We start from the raw sequence: 18374 nt of genomic DNA, 5'->3' as shown, positions 1-18374 counted from the left end.
CTCACTGCATCTTGAACTCCTAGGCTCAAACGATCCTCCCACCTCAGCCTCTCAAGTAGCTAGGACTGCAAGCACAAGCCGCCATGCCTGGCTAATTTTTTGTTGTTCTTGTTACTTTTTTGTAGAGAAGACATCTCACTATGTTGCCCAGGCTGGTCTCGAACTGCTAGTCTCAAATGATCTTCCTACCTTGGACTCCCAAAGTGCTGGGAGCACCCAGGCTATTGCATTTTTAGGTTATATCAACTCTGCTACCCTGAGAATTGCCTTTAGACTTTGTTCTTAAATAAACAAAGGACTGAGCTGATCCTGTCAGCCCAGAGCAGCGGCCTGGGAGCCACCATGCGACCCAGCCCTAAATGCCTTGCTTATGATGAAATCTCTTGAAAATAGCCCAACTTCTGTCTCCTGCCTGTGAAGTAAGCATTCTCCTCTAATTCTCAAAGCTGGGATTTTGTGAGAAACTTAAGTTGTCAGGAGCACACTGGGGGAAACATAATTGGAAATACATGTTATGACCCATTAGAATGACAAGTTGTATATATCCATTGTACCCTAAGGCATCCAATATATTCTGCTGTGTTTGTAAGTACTTTAATCATGTTGAAGAATGACATACTGAAACTTGTCCCTGAGATTCACACTTGATCTCAAGTTGATTGAGTTTAGGGAAAAGGGAAAAAAAAAACACATTAGCGTGTTATTTTTGACATTATATGAGGGTTTTCATGGGTGTGAACTGTGAGGGAGGTGTGCAAGACATGTTCCAGCCCAACCCTCGTCCTTATGAGGCTTGCAGGGATGACCCGTTTCCCTAAGGTCACCCAGCTGTGTGAGACACAGCTGGAATTTAGACTAGGGTCTCTTTAGTGTCTTCATTCTGAGTTCTTTTTTTGAATGGGCAACTTCTGTGATTTTGAGCATGACCAGACATTTAACTACAGTGGGTAGAGCCAGCCAAAGGTTGCAAAACTTTTCTACTTCTTTCTTAATGGCTAGAAATTGGTGATCAGAAATAACAAATACATGTCAAAGATGTTGAATTGTATAGCATTTTGGGTTTCAAACAGATATGATACAAAGGTTCAATTATGGCAAGGCTTCAAAGTTAAACTGTTCCTGAAAACAGTGACAAAGAGGGTCCAGGAATGGGAAGGGAAATGTGGTATTATGTTAATGTTTATGTTTGGCTGCAGTTCACCAAAAATGAAGGTTGATACAATTCTCTTTTCCAGGCTGTGTGTAAGTTGGCAAATGACAGGAAGAGCATGTGCTTCTAATCACCCACCCATCTTAATAACGTCGAACAGATACAGTGCAGAAACTATTGCACAACCACCAGCATTTCATTACATCAGAATCCTTGCCAATTTGAAAGAGGTCCTTGAATCCAGGGAGAGTTACATCTTTACGTTTTTGATCACGATCCTCTTGGAAGATACTTATTAGGGCCATTTGTTGATGACAATATTAAGAATTAGCAAATATCTTCTTAAATATAACAAAAATTGAATTGTTTCATTAGAGAACTATAAAGTCTGTTATTTAAGAGGAAACTGTTGTGCTGTTCAAAAGCAGGAAAGAATTGTTGAAGGACTCTTCCTGGTCTCCTTTCTAGAACTGAGGCAACTCAGCTATTGTAGTCAAAAGAATTTTTAAAAAATTAGTAAAGAGAAAAGCAGAATCTTCGTACATTGGTTGCCAACCAAGTCTCCTAATACCTAGGAAGTTATCAGTCATGTCAATGCATTGAATTTAGATTTTTTAAGCTAAAAAAGGAAAGTGAATTATTCTAAGAAGTTCTCCTTTCTCCTCAATATGGGAAAAAGGCCATTTTTGTTGTTTGGGGCCTGTTGTGGGAAAACAGGAGGGTTGTTTGATGAGGAGTCCCCACCTGTAAGTGTGTGTCACCAGACAGCAGGAACTTCTGGGTCATCCCAGGTTCCCTGCAGACCCCTCTTTCTTTTTCTTTCTTTCTTTCTCTTTCTTCTTTTCTTTTCTTTTCTGAGACAGTTTCCCTCTTGTTGCCCAGGCTGGAGTGCAATGGCACGATCTCGGCTCACCGCAACCTCTGCCTCCAGAGTTCAAGTGATTCTCCTGCCTCAGCCTCCTGAATAGCTGGGATTACAGGCATGCGCCACCATGCCCGGCTAATTTTGTATTTTTAGTAGTGACGGGGTTTCTCCATGTTGGTCAGGCTAGTCTTGAACTTCCTAACTCAGGTGATCCACCCGCCTTGGCCTCCCAAAGTGCTGGGATTACAGGCGTGCGCCACCGCGCCCGGCTAATTTTGTATTTTTAGTAGTGACGGGGTTTCTCCATGTTGGTCAGGCTAGTCTTGAACTTCCTAACTCAGGTGATCCACCCGCCTTGGCCTCCCAAAGTGCTGGGATTACAGGCGTGCGCCACCATGCCCGGCTAATTTTGTATTTTTAGTAGTGACGGGGTTTCTCCATGTTGGTCAGGCTAGTCTTGAACTTCCTAACTCAGGTGATCCACCCGCCTTGGCCTCCCAAAGTGCTGGGATTACAGGCGTGCGCCACCGCGCCCGGCTAATTTTGTATTTTTAGTAGTGACGGGGTTTCTCCATGTTGGTCAGGCTAGTCTTGAACTTCCTAACTCAGGTGATCCACCCGCCTTGGCCTCCCAAAGTGCTGGGATTACAGGCGTGAGCCACCGCGCCCGGCTAATTTTGTATTTTTAGTAGTGACGGGGTTTCTCCATGTTGGTCAGGCTAGTCTTGAACTTCCTAACTCAGGTGATCCACCCGCCTTGGCCTCCCAAAGTGCTGGGATTACAGGCGTGTGCCACCATGCCCGGCTAATTTTGTATTTTTAGTAGTGACGGGGTTTCTCCATGTTGGTCAGGCTAGTCTTGAACTTCCTAACTCAGGTGATCCACCCGCCTTGGCCTCCCAAAGTGCTGGGATTACAGGCGTGCGCCACCATGCCCGGCTAATTTTGTATTTTTAGTAGTGACGGGGTTTCTCCATGTTGGTCAGGCTAGTCTTGAACTTCCTAACTCAGGTGATCCACCCGCCTTGGCCTCCCAAAGTGCTGGGATTACAGGCGTGCGCCACCATGCCCGGCTAATTTTGTATTTTTAGTAGTGACGGGGTTTCTCCATGTTGGTCAGGCTAGTCTTGAACTTCCTAACTCAGGTGATCCACCCGCCTTGGCCTCCCAAAGTGCTGGGATTACAGGCGTGCGCCACCATGCCCGGCTAATTTTGTATTTTTAGTAGTGACGGGGTTTCTCCATGTTGGTCAGGCTAGTCTTGAACTTCCTAACTCAGGTGATCCACCCGCCTTGGCCTCCCAAAGTGCTGGGATTACAGGCGTGCGCCACCGCGCCCGGCTAATTTTTTATTTTTAGTAGTGACGGGGTTTCTCCATGTTGGTCAGGCTAGTCTTGAACTTCCTAACTCAGGTGATCCACCCGCCTTGGCCTCCCAAAGTGCTGGGATTACAGGCGTGCGCCACCGCTGCCCGGCTAATTTTGTATTTTTAGTAGTGACGGGGTTTCTCCATGTTGGTCAGGCTAGTCTTGAACTTCCTAACTCAGGTGATCCACCCGCCTTGGCCTCCCAAAGTGCTGGGATTACAGGCGTGCGCCACCGCGCCCGGCTAATTTTGTATTTTTAGTAGTGACGGGGTTTCTCCATGTTGGTCAGGCTAGTCTTGAACTTCCTAACTCAGGTGATCCACCCGCCTTGGCCTCCCAAAGTGCTGGGATTACAGGCGTGCGCCACCGCTGCCCGGCTAATTTTGTATTTTTAGTAGTGACGGGGTTTCTCCATGTTGGTCAGGCTAGTCTTGAACTTCCTAACTCAGGTGATCCACCCGCCTTGGCCTCCCAAAGTGCTGGGATTACAGGCGTGCGCCACCGCGCCCGGCTAATTTTGTATTTTTAGTAGTGACGGGGTTTCTCCATGTTGGTCAGGCTAGTCTTGAACTTCCTAACTCAGGTGATCCACCCGCCTTGGCCTCCCAAAGTGCTGGGATTACAGGCGTGCGCCACCATGCCCGGCTAATTTTGTATTTTTAGTAGTGACGGGGTTTCTCCATGTTGGTCAGGCTAGTCTTGAACTTCCTAACTCAGGTGATCCACCCGCCTTGGCCTCCCAAAGTGCTGGGATTACAGGCGTGCGCCACCATGCCCGGCTAATTTTGTATTTTTAGTAGTGACGGGGTTTCTCCATGTTGGTCAGGCTAGTCTTGAACTTCCTAACTCAGGTGATCCACCCGCCTTGGCCTCCCAAAGTGCTGGGATTACAGGCGTGCGCCACCGCGCCCGGCTAATTTTTTATTTTTAGTAGTGACGGGGTTTCTCCATGTTGGTCAGGCTAGTCTTGAACTTCCTAACTCAGGTGATCCACCCGCCTTGGCCTCCCAAAGTGCTGGGATTACAGGCGTGCGCCACCGCGCCCGGCCTCTGCAGACCCCTTCCTAAGCATCATTCTGCCTGTGGCCCTTGCGGGGGTTTGTATCTGGCACGCTGCGGAGTGAGAGCAAACAGTGTCACCGTCCCTGTAGGGGGCTGCATCGCCTGATACGTGGAAGCTGAAGGGTCTAGATACGCACATGCACGTCTCCCAGGGCGTTGTAGTCTCCTCTAGAAAAAGCTAGTCCTGAGTGAAGCAGGACGTACAAGAGACAAATTCTTATAGCGGCGGAAACCATTTATCCGCATGGGGAATCTGACGACCATTGTAATAAAAGTGAATTGAGACGATTATCTGAATGGTTCAACTGAGTTCAGGGCATGGTATGTTTGGCTCTGCACTCTCCGGATCACTGTGTTACAACTGAAAGAATTCTGAGCTGGGAGCTGGAACCTCTGGGTTTCAGACCCACGTCTGCCACTAAGGAATATGTAAAGACACACTGTGGGGCCCCATTTTCTCCCGTGCAAAATTAGGGTTTCTTACTGAGCTTGAAAGTATGTGCGTTGATCCAAGACAGTCTAGTTTAGCTTTGTATTTTGTGTGTGAAAACACATTCCCTGAGGCAGAAAAAATACCAGCTTTGTGAAACTGTGCAACAGGGGAACCAGAATGGGCACAGATGCTTCTCCTTAGGGATGCTTCAGAATGAGCGGGCTACACCCTGGGGGACCCTAGGAACGCATCTTTATCTATTGGGGGTGGGACTTTCCGATTGTTTTTGAGAATTTATGTGGGGTCAAGAATCTAAGGCACAATTCTAGAGGGGACCTGGTTAGGTTCTTTATCCATAGCTAAAAGGCTTAGAGTCCACCCCGGGATGGTCGAAGCTTTCACCCCCCGGGCTCACTCGCAGGCAGGGGAGGCGCAGGGTGACCAGGGCCCTTTGGCCACGCAGCCCCATGCTTCCCGCACTGGCGGGAACCGTGCTCTAAGCAGAAAGGAGGCTTCTAACTGGGGAAGCTGATGGCACCGAGTGCGTCGCTTCCCAGAGATGTTTTCAGCCCCCACAGGCAGCCGACTTGGTCCCTGTCTGCAGAGAGGGCCTGGCCGGGCGGTCCAGAAAGGCCTCAGGCGCTCGCGCGGAGACCAGGCTGGGCCGGGACGGCGGCGCCGCTGTGCGCTTCTCCCCACCCAGCTGCCCACTGCGGCCTGGAGGGGTTTTCGACGGGGTGGAAGGGACTGTGGCAGTTTAAAGGCGCCGACAGGGAGGGTTGGCGGCGGCTGCGGGGGGCCAGCATGGGTTTCTTTGAAAAGGGATCCACCGAGCCCGGGCCCCACAGCTGCAGCTCCAGGCAGGACTGACAGGTGTCAAAGGGCGAGTCCCAAACCAAACACACCCTCGCCCGCACCCGGCATCCCGCGCCCCCCGCGTCGGCCGAGGGTCACTCGGGTGCCCCTCAGCCTGGTGTTTGCGCAGCTGGGGCCGGGTGCCTTTGCCCGGGATGGGCGCGCTGGGGCGAGGGGAGGAGAGAGGAGCAGGCGGGGGGAGGGGTAGGCTGGAGGGGGGCGGGAGGAGGGCTGGGCGGGGGGAGGGGTAGGCTGGGGGGGGGGGTAGGCTGGAGGGGGGCGGGAGGAGGGATGGGTGGGGGGAGGGGTAGGCGGGAGGAGGGATGGGTGGGGGGAGGGGTAGGCTGGAGGGGGGCGGGAGGAGGGATGGGTGGGGGGAGGGGTAGGCTGGAGGGGGGCGGGAGGAGGGGGGTGGGCGGGGGGAGGGGGTAGGCTGGGGGGGAGGCGGGAGGAGGGGGTGGGCGGGGGGAGGGGTAGGCTGGAGGGGGGCGGGAAGGGGGTGGGCGGGGGGAGGGTTAGGCTGGAGGGGGGGCGGGAGGGGGGTGGACGGGGGCAGGGGCGCGAGCCCTGCCCTCGGCGCGGGGGGCCACTTGGGCGCGGCCAGGCCTGGGGGCCTGGGCACAGTGAGCCCCGAACCCTCCTCCCGCGCCTGCGAGGAAGGCAGTTTTCTGGGCAGATGCTGGAAGGAGCTGTTGGGCTCGAGAGGTCCCACCGCCACCGCGAGGCTGCTGCCTGAGTGCAGGGTCCTGCAGCCGCACCGAGCGGCCCCTCCGAAGGCCGGCGTGCCTGCCGCCAGGTGCGGCTCCGCGGAATTCCAGCTTCGCCTGAACTAAAAGCAGCTGTGCAGCTTTCTGCCTTCATTGAGAAAACGGGAGCTGTGCCGTCGCCTTTCCTCCTGGGCTGCCTCCGACCCAGCACTGAGAAACCGAAACTCCCCGGGGCTGGGTGTGTGAAGGAGGGACAGGGAGGAGGCGACAGCCCAGGACCCTCCAATGCCCCCGCCCCGCCCGCCCAGTGTGATGTCCTTCTAGTCGTGGGATACTGAGCTTGGAAATGGTCATGAAATAGGGGTGCAAAACTCAAGCGACTCTGACAATTTTTTAGAAACGCTTATAGTCCCTGGGGAAACAAAGAAGGGGACCAGAAGCTAGGAGGGGACAGCATCCTACCAGACTCCAGGGTGTTCATTAGCAAGGAAGGATTTATTTTTTCTTTTGAGGGGAGGGCGGAACAGCCGGGATTTTTGGAACACTACCTTTGTCTTTCACTTTGCTGTTTGTGTGTTAACACGAATAAATCAGAAGCGACTTTAAATCTCCCTTCGCAGGACTGTCTTCACGTATCAGTGCAGACAAGAAAACAGTGGCTTTACAAAAAAGATGTTCAAGTAGGCTGCACTTTGCCTCTGTGGGTGAGGCACACTGTGGGAGAGACAAGGTCCCCTGGAACCAGAGGTGGGAAGGACAGAGCTGGCTGACTCCCTGCTCTCCCGCATTCTCTCCTCCATGTGTTTTGAAGAGGGAAGCAACATGTTGAGGTCTGATCATTTCTACCCAGGGAACCTGTTGTCCCCTGCCCCTAGTTGCTGGTCTGTTTCAGGTTTATTTTGGGGTCGGATTATTGGCCCTGTGGGTGCAAATGTCTACCTCTTGCCGTAATTCAACCCTATTATTATCACTCTTTATGATTACTAAGTAGATGTCATCCAAATCAGTCAAGACTCATCATCTGTTAACCTGATTTAGGGAAGATTGTTTCTCTCCCATTCCTGCCAAAAGAGAGCATCCTGAAATAAACGCCACCCTCCTTCCCCACCTCATTATATGTAGAGCTCAAATCATCCTCCTGTCCTGGGTAAGATGGGATCTACCCAAGAATGGCAGCCATGGCAATGAGGCCTGTTTCTAGTCTCTGCATTTCCCACAGTTTGTATTACTCTCTAAAATTTTGCAATCCATGCATTGTTAAAACTGTATTGCCTAGGAACCTACTGAAGAACAGGTGTTCACCCTGGTACTCCCACTGATGAAAATCCTCCGTTACATTTATAATATGGGAAACTGTCTCTCCCTCTCTCCAGGAGGCATTTTCTCTTCAGACTGCAACTGAAACATGCAAGACATTGCCACTGCTTCAAGTGAAATCTTTACAGATGAGGGAAGAGTGAAAAAAATACTACCCATTGGTTCACACCCAGTTGAACTTTTGCATTCCTAAAAAGGTGGATGGTTTTGTTTTGACAAAAACACTATGACATTTAAATTGCTTTTGAAATTGCCCTGAAGACACCTTTGATATTTTAAGATAGTCTTATGACAAAAAAGTTGTCAAAAAAATTGGGGCTCCAACTTTTTGAGCCCCAAATCGAAACCAATTTACCTGAAAATATCTGTTTGACTCTAGGCTTGTTAAGAACTCAACTTGCCTGCTAAGGATTCTTGGGGGAGAGAGGGACACTTCCCTCTCATTTGTTCTGGAAGCACTTAGGTGACTAATTAGAGGAGTAATTGGTTTTCAACTTTTAAAAAGCCCATGAATGGAAGTCCTATCTGGAAATCTGTCTAGCAATGCATCTCATACGGAAATCTGCAAGCCCATTCTATAATACCTTTATCGAATTATTCAGGAAAATATTTTTATCTCCAGAGGAAGTTTCTTGAGACCAAAACCTGAGCCCATTTTTTTGGGAGGGGGGACAGACATAAAAATCTCTCCACTTCCAACCCATCATCACAATGTGTTAAGTCAGTTGTTTTATTAAAAAATAAGCACTATGCTTGGGTTTCATAAAATTTATACATGAATATGTACACAGACACAAATAAAATAATATTAAAAATAAAAATCACACTTGCTTTCAAGGCAGTGGTCCTGGCACCCCACATACATAATCAACTTTTCCTTTAAAGAAATTGCTTGGCCCAAGGAGACCACAGTTAGAGAACCACTAATAAAGCTGTAGCCCGTTGCCTGCAACATTTTCAATTCGGGTTTCAAAAATATATAAATAATTTAATTACAAAACCCAACATTTTTTTTCTCTTTTGGCACAGTGAAGCATCGGTCAATAGCAAGAAATCACTGAAGAGCCTCTGACATGTCTCTCACACTCAGTCATACCTGGAAATGCCACATACGTACACGGATGGGGGCCCAGAAACCCCAAACAGTAGTCATATCATTTATAGTGTGGAAAGGTTCCCTGATGTACTTAGGGGGGAGGGAAGGGACATAAATCAATGGAAGTTGCGACAAAAACAGTAGAAATAAGACGAAGCCTGGGCGTTAAAGAAAGACAAAAAAAGTCCTTATGAAGGGAAGGAGGAGCAGGCTTCGCAAAGAAACTAAAACAAGAATTGCTTTGGTCCTCTGTAAAGTTATAAAACACAAAGGAAAATATCCTGGACTAAGTTTAAATACTCCTGTCAAAATGCTTTAGCTTTAAGGCACGTTTGATGGAGATTTTAAAAATTCATCTTCCTCTGGATTCAAAGTGCAAAGTCCGCGCGCGGGCCCGCGTTCCCGCCTCCCCGACGGCGCGCACTCGGCGTTCCCGGGCCCCGCGGCGCTACTCAGGCTAGGAGCGTCTCCACCGGGTACGGCAGGTGCGGGCCAGGGCGGCGGACTGAGGCCGCCTGCAGGGCTGCGGGCAGCCGCAGGGGGCAGTACAGGTGCGCGCCGCCGGCCGCCGGGCCTCGGAGTGGCTTGGCGGGGGCCGCCGCCGGGAGAGGTGCAAGCAGGAGGGGCGGCGCGGTCGGTGGCACCTCGGCCTCGCGCGCGCCCAGCCGCGCCGGCTCGCCCGCGCCGTACGCGCAGAGCGGCAGCAGGGCCCTGCAGGGCGCCGCGGGGAGGAGCGCGGGGAACGCGGGCAGCGGCGGGCAGGGCGCGGCGCCCCACTGAAGCGTCGTCCCGGGGGCCGTGTCCCTGAGGCGGCGGCTGCGGAAGGGCTTGCGCAGGATGCTGTCGATGGCGAAGGAGCTGGAGAACTTGCCCGCGGGGCTGGCGCGCTCCTCCTGGCGGGCGGGCGAGCGCATGCGGGGCGAGGCCGGGGCGGCGGGCGCGGGCGGCGGGGCGGCGGGGAGGCCCGGGGCCTCCTCGGGCCGCAGCCCGGGCGCGGGGACCGGCGCGCGGTGGCTGAGGCGCTTGCGGCGGCGGCGGAAGACCCCGTCGGCGAAGGTGTACTCGCTGTTGGGGTTGAGCATCCAGTAGTTGTCCTTGCCCCAGGGCCGCGAGGGGTCGCGCAGCACCTTGACGAAGCAGTCGTTGAGCGAAAGGTTGTGGCGCACGGAGTTGCGCCAGCCCGTGTAGCTGCCGCGGAAAAAGGGGAACTTGCCCATGAGGTACTCGTTGATCTCCGCCAGCGTCAAGCGCCCGCCCGCCGAGTCGCGGATGGCCATGGCGATGAGCGCGATGTACGAGTAGGGGGGCTTGGGCCGCCGCGTATATGGCTTGCTGCGTGCACCCTCGCCGCTCCCCGCGCCGCCCGCGCCTGGCCCCGCCGCCCCGGCCTCCGCGCCCTCCGCCACCACCGCTGCAGCAGCTGCTGCCGGGATCGCCTCCTCCGCGCCCGGCCCGCCTCCCGCACTCTGTTCGCCGTCGCCCTGCGTATCTCTGGCGCCGCCGCCCGCGGCCGGGCTGTTGGCCGCGCAGTCCCCATCTGAGCCCAGGGAGTCGTCTCCCGCCGCCGACAGCGGGGACGGCGCGTCGCTGCCGCCCGCGCCCTCCAGGTCACTGCCCTGCTTGTCCCCGTGGGCCGCGCGAGGGACGAACACCTCCAACTTCATGCCCGCGCACCCAGTCCCTCCCCGGCGTCGTACCCTCTTCCTTCGCGCAGCCTAGAGAAGCTGGTGCCAGGGAAGGGGATGGCGATCCGGGGCCGGGGATCTTCGCCTTTTTCTCCCGGGAGCTCTACCCTGGTCTTCCGAGATAGTCACTTTTCCGGAGTCCTCTTCCGCTGGGCTTTTTCTCTGGAGGGGCTGCAAGTGTTGGGTGGACTATGGGGCGGAGAGGGAGGAGTTGGGTGGGTGTCGCCTTCGGTTCGACGTTGAGACTTTGGGGTGAGTGTGTGCAGGGGCCGCGGTTCCACCCTCGGGTGCCCGAGCACGCCGGGCTTAGAAGGCTTTCCTGCCGGAGAGAAGCAGCATGCGCATCTGCTGCTCGTTAAAGAGCCCAGGAGGGGTTCTTCACTGGCGGTCCCAGGTCCCGCGCGGGCGTCTTCGGGGCACGGAAATGGTGCCGGATGATGTGCGTGCCACCGTGGGGGAAGGTCCGGCGCCTTCAGCCTTGAGCACCCGCGGAGGCGAGTCCCCGAGGCCGCTGCGCCCGCAGCCGCCTTCCCGCTCCCAGCCTCCGGGGCAGCATCTCCCCGCTGGCCTGCCGCGGCTGCGTCTCGCCTCCACCTTCGGGCCGGCCCAATATAACCCTGCGGCGGCTCCGCGGGGGCGGGGCCTGAGCGCGGACGGCAAGGGGTGGGGGAACGAGGTGGCCGAGGTGGTGGCGGCTCCCCAGTTCCCCAGCTCCCCAACGGGCGCGCACCAGGCGGAGGCCACACTGCAGCGCGGCGGCAAAGTCGCTGGCGCAGGTTGTTTGTTTTGGGTCGGCCGGCCCCGCCTTCCTCCTCCCGCCAATGGGGAGCGCGCGCGCCGCTGTGGGTTTGCGCGTGTCTGTGAGTGTGCGTGTGTGCGCGCGCGGGGCCGCTCCGCCAGCCGGCTCCTCCGTTCAGGTGTGGGCCCCAGCCCCGGGCAGCCCGCGAGGGCTCCCTGCGCCCTGGAGTTCGGGGACGCAGTTTAGGCGAGTGCGCCTGGTTGGGGGGACACGCCACAGTTCCCCTAGGGGGACACCTGAAGGGACTGGGTCTAGGGGAGCAGGGACTTTGCTCGGGCCTAAGCTGCACGCGGCGTATGTGCTTCTGTAGTAGTGAAAACGATGCTGCTTACGAAAGCAAACCCCTGTCGTCACTGCAGAGGTGCTGAACAGAAATTGCGCAGGACACTTGCAGTGACCTCTTTCGGGAGCCTTGTGCTGTGCCCCTTCCTATGAGCTCCTTTCAAGGACCATCTTGTCTTTTCCTCTTGTTTTAATGAATGCACTCCTGGGCTTGAAATTGTATGCGCCTTTTTGGATGACCTTTACTCTTGCTCACTAAATGGGCTCCGACTTTCACTTTTCTTTGTCTTACTTTACCTTTTTCTTTACCTGGCTGGTGACTCCTGCGGGAGGACAGCAGCGTCCTCCTCTTCCCCTGGGGCGGCTGTGTCTGGCGCAGGGTGCTGGGCTGTGCCTGCACTTGTGTCCCTGCGGAAGCCTCAGATGCCGCCGAGCTCCGCCGCTTGGTTCCCGGGATCTGACAGTCAACAGGAACGACGGAGAGGGCGTGTTCCCGGGGGCGGGGGCAAGAACAAACCGGTTCACGGCCATTTCTTTCCAATATTCCTTTGGGACTTTTGCTGTGACCTCACTGGCACCAGTGTCGGACAATCTCGAAAGGGGGGACCGTTCCTCACCCCAGGGCGCCCGGGGCGTGATCCCCACGCGGCGTCATTAGTCCAGGGAGCGGGCGCCTCGGCCCCGGGAAGGTGCACTTCCAGCCCGCTGCCCTGCCACGCCGAGTTTCCTCCTTTTTCCTGCCTTTGTTGCACAAAAAGCGACGGAGCCGCTAGTAGGTGGGAGCTCACCTTTGATGTTTATTTTATTACTTTCCACCATTTGTGTTGAAAACGTACACAATCCTCTCTTATCTTTATTCAGGGAGTTTTGAAGCCATTCACAATGGGGCGGGCAACATGACAGCCCCAGCCACAGCTCTGTTATTTTTGTATTTGGGGAAGGATCGCGTTCGGAGATTAGACTGACTTTATTAAGTATGCGCCTCGGGAGCCAGGTGGGGAATGGCTGCTTTTTGGGAGATGAGCCTTTCTGGAGGGGTCTGCTCAGCTCTAGCCTTGGAGTTGATGGTTCACTAGACCTGGAGAGGGAAGTGGGATGAGACAAATATGTATATCTATATATATATAGCGAGGTAAAGAGGCTTGGATTTGGCCAGGGATAAAAGGCGTTCGTAATGAATGTTTTTCTCTCTTGAACTCTGGGGTTGGGCAGGGCAGGAGGGCACATGACTATTTGATGGGGAAGGTAAAGCCAAGGAGGCTTGAGGTGGGACCCGTGGTCGCTACAGAGTCCAAGGGAGGCCTCTTCGAGACTCCAGGGCCAAGGTGTCCTGCCACCAAGGAATGCTGGTCGCCGCCAGGGAAGGTGGCTCACCCCACCTCCATGTCCCACTTTCCCCCTTTCTTACCCAACCTCCTCCCCTCCCCAGCTGCAGGGGATCCTCTCCTTACCCTGATTTCATTTGGGGCAAGGGGGGCAAGGACCTGCCCCACCTTTTATGTCTATCCTGTGGGCTGCTGTCTGCAAGTTTGGAGCCTGAAAAGGTTGGGGGGCAAGAGAGTGAGTTGGAGGTGGGTGAATTCTCAGCTGGAAACCCTTTGCTATTTTTAGAGTGACTTAGGGAATGGGCAGGTGAGAGGTTGCTTGCAGCCACCTAAGTGGACTTTGAGAAGGAAGATGGCATGGCAGGCCGTGGACCACCTGGATAGGATTAAAACAAAACAAAAACAAGCAAACAAACAAAAAAAAACCCTACCTCAGCTAGAATGGAAGCTCCACTAGAGCAGGGTTTTTTTCTTTTTTTCTTCATGACTGTATTCCCCTATCCTTGACACATGAATGTGCCATTTGCTGAGGATAACATGATTGTCTTCTGTTAAAACCAGAAATAACACTGCTTTTTCCATTTGTGGTTGATGTCGGTATCAATTTTAGCTGTTGTTTTACAGCGGGGAAATCATTCACCTTTTGCAGCTATCAGAGAAACCGAGAATGTATGGAGCAGGGCGTGTCTATCCACAACACCCTCAAGGCTGAATACAGTTGGGGAGACCAGACGCTGCCAGACGTCACATGCATTTTTTTAAAGTTTCCCAGAAGTGCTTGGATATTTCTGCCCCTTAATTCCCATTCCTTGGGGAGTACATTGATGGGTTAATAAAAAATGCCTGCAGGTGGAGCTTGACCAAACACTTGTAGGTAAGAAACACCTATTAGCTTATTTTCCCCCTTGCCCTTTAATTTCCATGGAGATAAGTGAATAAACTATGGCAAAAGATAAGTTCATATTTCCATGATCGTATGACCTCCCTGAAGTGGTGATTTTAGGAAGATAGTGCATGTATCTCTGGGCACAAAGTAACTTAATTAACTGTGGAAACTATCTGCAAATTTAACGCTTTCCATAATTTGATAGTGCTTCACTGACCCAGTTCCTAAACACTAATCTTGGGAAGAAAATAATTTAATTCCTAAAATACCTAAGGTGACTCCCTGTGGAAATATTGATGACTTGCCCTATGCATTAGAAGATCACGCAGGCTCCCAGCCCAAAGGGACTACAGAACAATCTTGATCACATCCACCCAGCAACCTGGAAACAGCTTTGAATTTCTTGTCGTGTTAACCTCTGGATCTGAAGAGAGGGTAAACTTAAAATTACCTTCCCATGGGGACCTGGGACTCTGGATGAATCTACAGTACAATGCTGTGAAGAACTGAAGAGCCTCAGGCTTAGAGACCAGGCTAATGTTGAGAGTCCCAGGGCAAAATGCATGGCTCTGAATCCTTGCAGAGTCTCCCTAGGGGCATGGAGAGGGCCCTGACTTGGGGCTCGAGGTCAGGTGGCAGTGAAGGGCCTCTACAGCGATAAAGCCCAGCTGCCTCTTTACCTTTCCTCATAGTGAAAATACATGGGAAGAAAAGGAGTGCTTTGTCCAACTCTGTTCTAGCCCATTTCATGGTCTGGTTGATTCTTTTGGTAGATGCTGAACACTGGAAAAATCCTGCAAGGATTGAAGGTGAGTGTGGAAGTAGACGGAGAAAACTTAGGCATTTTTACGTGTCTGTATTTTTGCTTCTTTCCAAAAATGTTTTAATAGGGTCAGGCTCATTTGTTTGTACATTTACCATGTTTGTTTGAACAGTCTTCTTTCGGTTTCTTGAGCAATGGGCATGGTTTAATCCAAGAATCTTAGAATTTGGCTGGGCATTACTGACCAGGTGCAAAACCAAGGGCTGTGCCTGAAGTTTTCTTTTGAGACCTCAGGAATTATAAGCAGCAAGAAAGCCACTGGGTACCCATTGAATTAAGTAGTTATTGGGAGGTGGGTCCTGGGGAGTGGAGAGAGGCAGGGAGGCAGGCCTGATAATGGTGGAAAAGAGAAAAAGAAGGATAAAAGGAGGAGCAAAGATGTGCAGATACAAAGCTAGATCATCTACAGTACGACGAAGGTTAGGGGTCATTGAGAATGCTGCCTGATTCTGTCACTCAGAGACGAAATCCTGCACACTCTAGCACCATGTGTGAAAATACCAATGTAGGAAGGAAAGGCCCGGGGCTGATTTGTTACAAGGTGACAGCTTAGATAGTGGGATCATGGAGTCCATTCTTCAGAACTGGCTAGATCTTAGGAACCTCATTGTCTAGTTTTAGTCCAGTTTTTCTATTACCTGAAGTTCTTTAAATTTTGAGTTTTACAAGCAGAACAAGGAGATTTAACTTCTGTTTGCAATGAGTGATCCAGTTCTCTCTTTTTAACTTTGAGGCTGTAACCATCCACAATAAATTAGTAATCAGACCTTTCCTGATATGTATCAAAGAAGGAGACTGTCTTTCTATGAAGAGAACTGACGCACATCCTTGGAGAGGGCTCCATCATCATACTGTCATACAAATCTGGGCAAAAGAGGGGCAAGTGCCAAATGAGATCCAGTTTGGATACATGAATATTAAGTTGTACAAAAAAAACAAGGTCTTTGCAGGGCTTCCTGTGGAGCTGGGGAAGGGTCTATGTCCCTTGTCTTGGCCAGTAGTCCCTCAAACCTGGATCCACAGTCTAGGTTTATGCATTTGGAGTGGATATGGCGGGGTTAACTCTCCCATTTAATTCCAGAGAAGGCATTACCACTCTAGGTAGGTGTGGGCTTTGGAGACAGATAACCTTGGGTTCGTATCTCTGCTCTACCAGGAAAGTTACCACACCTCACCTTTTTTAAATCTAGAAGAATAACAGTTATAGGGATTTTAAAAACTGAACTACTATGTTCTAGGCCCTTATTAAGTATTATTTATGTCTCTCCTTCCATTTCATACTTGGAAACTTATTTTGGAGGGGTATACTATCTTTGTAAGCCCAGATAGGCAAATTCTTCAGAATTAATCAACCAAGTAAACTTTCCGGGTAAAAACTGGAAAAGTGAAAAATAGTTCCTGGAGGAATGAGATATTTCTTGGGGTCATCTAATCCTAGTCTATGGCCAATACCTAGCCGGTGTTCCAGAAATAAAAAGGAAAGTCAGAACCCCTTGCTTCAATTGTGAACAAGCCCCTTATTCAAAATTTGAGCAGGAGTTGAGTGCACAGTTGGGTTGCTCAGAGTAAAACCCATACTAGTAAATCATGTAGGAACAATGTGAGGAGAATATCTATCTATCTATCTATCTATCTATCTATCTATCTATCTATTCATCCATCCACCTATATCGTTTTTATTAGGCAAGATTTCAAGTATGTATAAAAGTAAAGAGAAAGGCATAAAAAGTAGCGTTCATTGAGAAAAGTGTTCACTGATCCTGGGGTTGTTTATTGTTTGTAGGACATTTTTTGATTTTACCTGGGTCCCTATGCTGAATATCAGTCACATCAATGTAATTACTTATTTGCTTTGTCATTCCTCTGTGTGTGTGTGTGTGTGTGTGTATGTATCTCAATCTTTCTATTCCTATTTCAGAATCTCAATTCCTGTTTTATTACTAACAATGTGATAACTGAAAACAGTTTGAATTTTACTTGTGGGCTTTGTTTTTGTTTTTTGGCCCTTAGGGTGTATATTCCATCATCTACACAGTCAAATTACCAAATTTTAATGTAACTTGAGATAATTGTTCTCTAGTGATTAAGCCGTCAACTTGGTATTCAGTGTCTTAGTCCACTTTTTGCTGCTGTAACAGAATACCTAAGACTGAGTAATTGATAAAGAAAAGACATTTATTTCTTATAGTTCTGGAGACTGGGAAGTCCAAGTTCATGACATTAACATCTGGCAACAGTCATTCCATGATGGAAGGGTAGAAGGTGGAAGTGAGCACAAGGAGGGGAGGGAAGAAGGGGGCTAAAATTATCGGGAACCCATTCTCACAATAACAGCATTAATCCATTCATGAAGGCAGAGTCCTCATGGTCTACTTACTTCTTAAAGACCCCACCTCTTAACAGTATTTGCAATGGCAATTAAGTTTTCAAGAGAAAAACTTTGGGAGCACATTCAAACTATAGCCTTTAGTTAGCACCATCTGGTCCATTTCATTTTTTATTTCCTTCATTTGTTTAACAAGTAAGTAATATTGACTTTTTTTTTCTTAAGAGACAGGATCTCTCTATGTTGCCCAGACTGGTCTCAAACTTCTAGGCTCAAGCTATCCTTCTATCTCAGCCTCTTGAGTAGCTGGGACAACAGGTATGTACCACTGTACCTGGCTTGAATATTGACCTGGTTTTAAAGTCAAAGGTATAATATGAAGCATATTCAAGGAAATTTAGTTTTTATCCATATTTTTTCCACCTTGCTCCTTCCTCCACCCTATAGGTAACCATTTGATAAAACTTTTAAAATTACCCTTTATATTAGTTTGCTAGGGCTGCCAAACAAAATATCACAGACTGGGTAGCTTAACCAACTGAAATTTATTTTCTTACGGTTCTGGAGGCTGAAAGCCCAAGATCAAGGTGTTGGCAGGGCTAGATTCATCTGGGATCTTTCTCCTTGGCTGGCTGTCCTCACATGGTCTTCCCTCTGTGCATGTGCACCTCTGGTGTCTCTCTGTGTATCCACATTTCCTCTTCTTATAAGGCTAGCAGTCAGATTGGATTGAGGCCCACCCTAAAGACCCCTCATTTTAATTTCATTACTTCTTTAAAGACCTTATCTCCAATCCAATACAGCACTGAGGTACTGGGGCTTAGGACTTCAACATATACATTTTGAGAGGACACAACTCAGCCCATAACATACTTCTATTTAAAATAACTAAGCCAACATGGATGTATTTATATATCCCTCCATGTAGGTAGTGTTAAAATTTTATATACAGTTAGTTCTATCTACTTTATTTTCTTAACTTTTCAAAAAATCCTGGAATTCACTCCATGGCAGTATATAGAGATATTCTTATTTGTAAGATAATATTTTGACTGTTAATTGAGCACAGAATTTTCTGACATTGAAGGAAATGTATTGATTTTTTCATTCAGCTTTATGAGTTCAAAGATGGTAGGAAAGATATATGAGCCATAAAAATGGACAACCATGTATGGTTGGAATGCCCTTGAGGTCCTCATGTGTGCTGTCCTCTGACTTCATGACCTTTCTTGTTACATGGCCTATTTCCCCATGTAAACCAGAGACAAGAATATACATAAGAACAGCTTGGCCCAGAGACATGCTGTGCATACATGAGGTAGGACAGTATTCTGACCTTATCAGAGGTCAGTGATGCTATCTGGGCATGGATATCACAATATCAAGACCTTGGCA

General features: G+C 50.5%; 1 protein-coding gene across 1 annotated transcript, besides 1 other annotated feature; it reads right to left on the bottom strand.

The window, feature by feature from the left end:
- Positions 1-8463: 8463 nt before the first annotated feature.
- On the bottom strand, positions 8464-11124 carry FOXQ1 (forkhead box Q1). The gene has a single exon (NM_033260.4). It carries the CDS (start codon positions 10515-10517, stop codon positions 9306-9308), a length of 1212 nt encoding a protein of 403 aa, NP_150285.3. The 5' UTR covers positions 10518-11124; the 3' UTR covers positions 8464-9305.
- Positions 9954-10670: an enhancer, noted in NCBI's record as "H3K4me1 hESC enhancer chr6:1312787-1313503 (GRCh37/hg19 assembly coordinates)". NCBI's record gives its function as "activates a minimal SCP1, AML or CMV promoter by ChIP-STARR-seq in primed H9 embryonic stem cells {active_cell/tissue: H9 hESC(primed)}" and the evidence as "EXISTENCE:reporter gene assay evidence [ECO:0000049][PMID:30033119]".
- Positions 11125-18374: the final 7250 nt, after the last annotated feature.

Source organism: Homo sapiens, chromosome 6 (genome assembly GCF_000001405.40).
Source record: "Homo sapiens chromosome 6, GRCh38.p14 Primary Assembly".
Lineage (NCBI taxonomy): Eukaryota > Metazoa > Chordata > Mammalia > Primates > Hominidae > Homo > Homo sapiens.
This window is presented reverse-complemented; position numbering and strand designations above follow the sequence as displayed.

What these genes read in the sequence shown, in the direction of transcription:
- FOXQ1 (NM_033260.4), bottom strand. Translation starts at nt 10,517, where the DNA reads ATGAAGTTGGAGGTGTTCGTCCCTCGCGCGGCCCACGGGGACAAGCAG.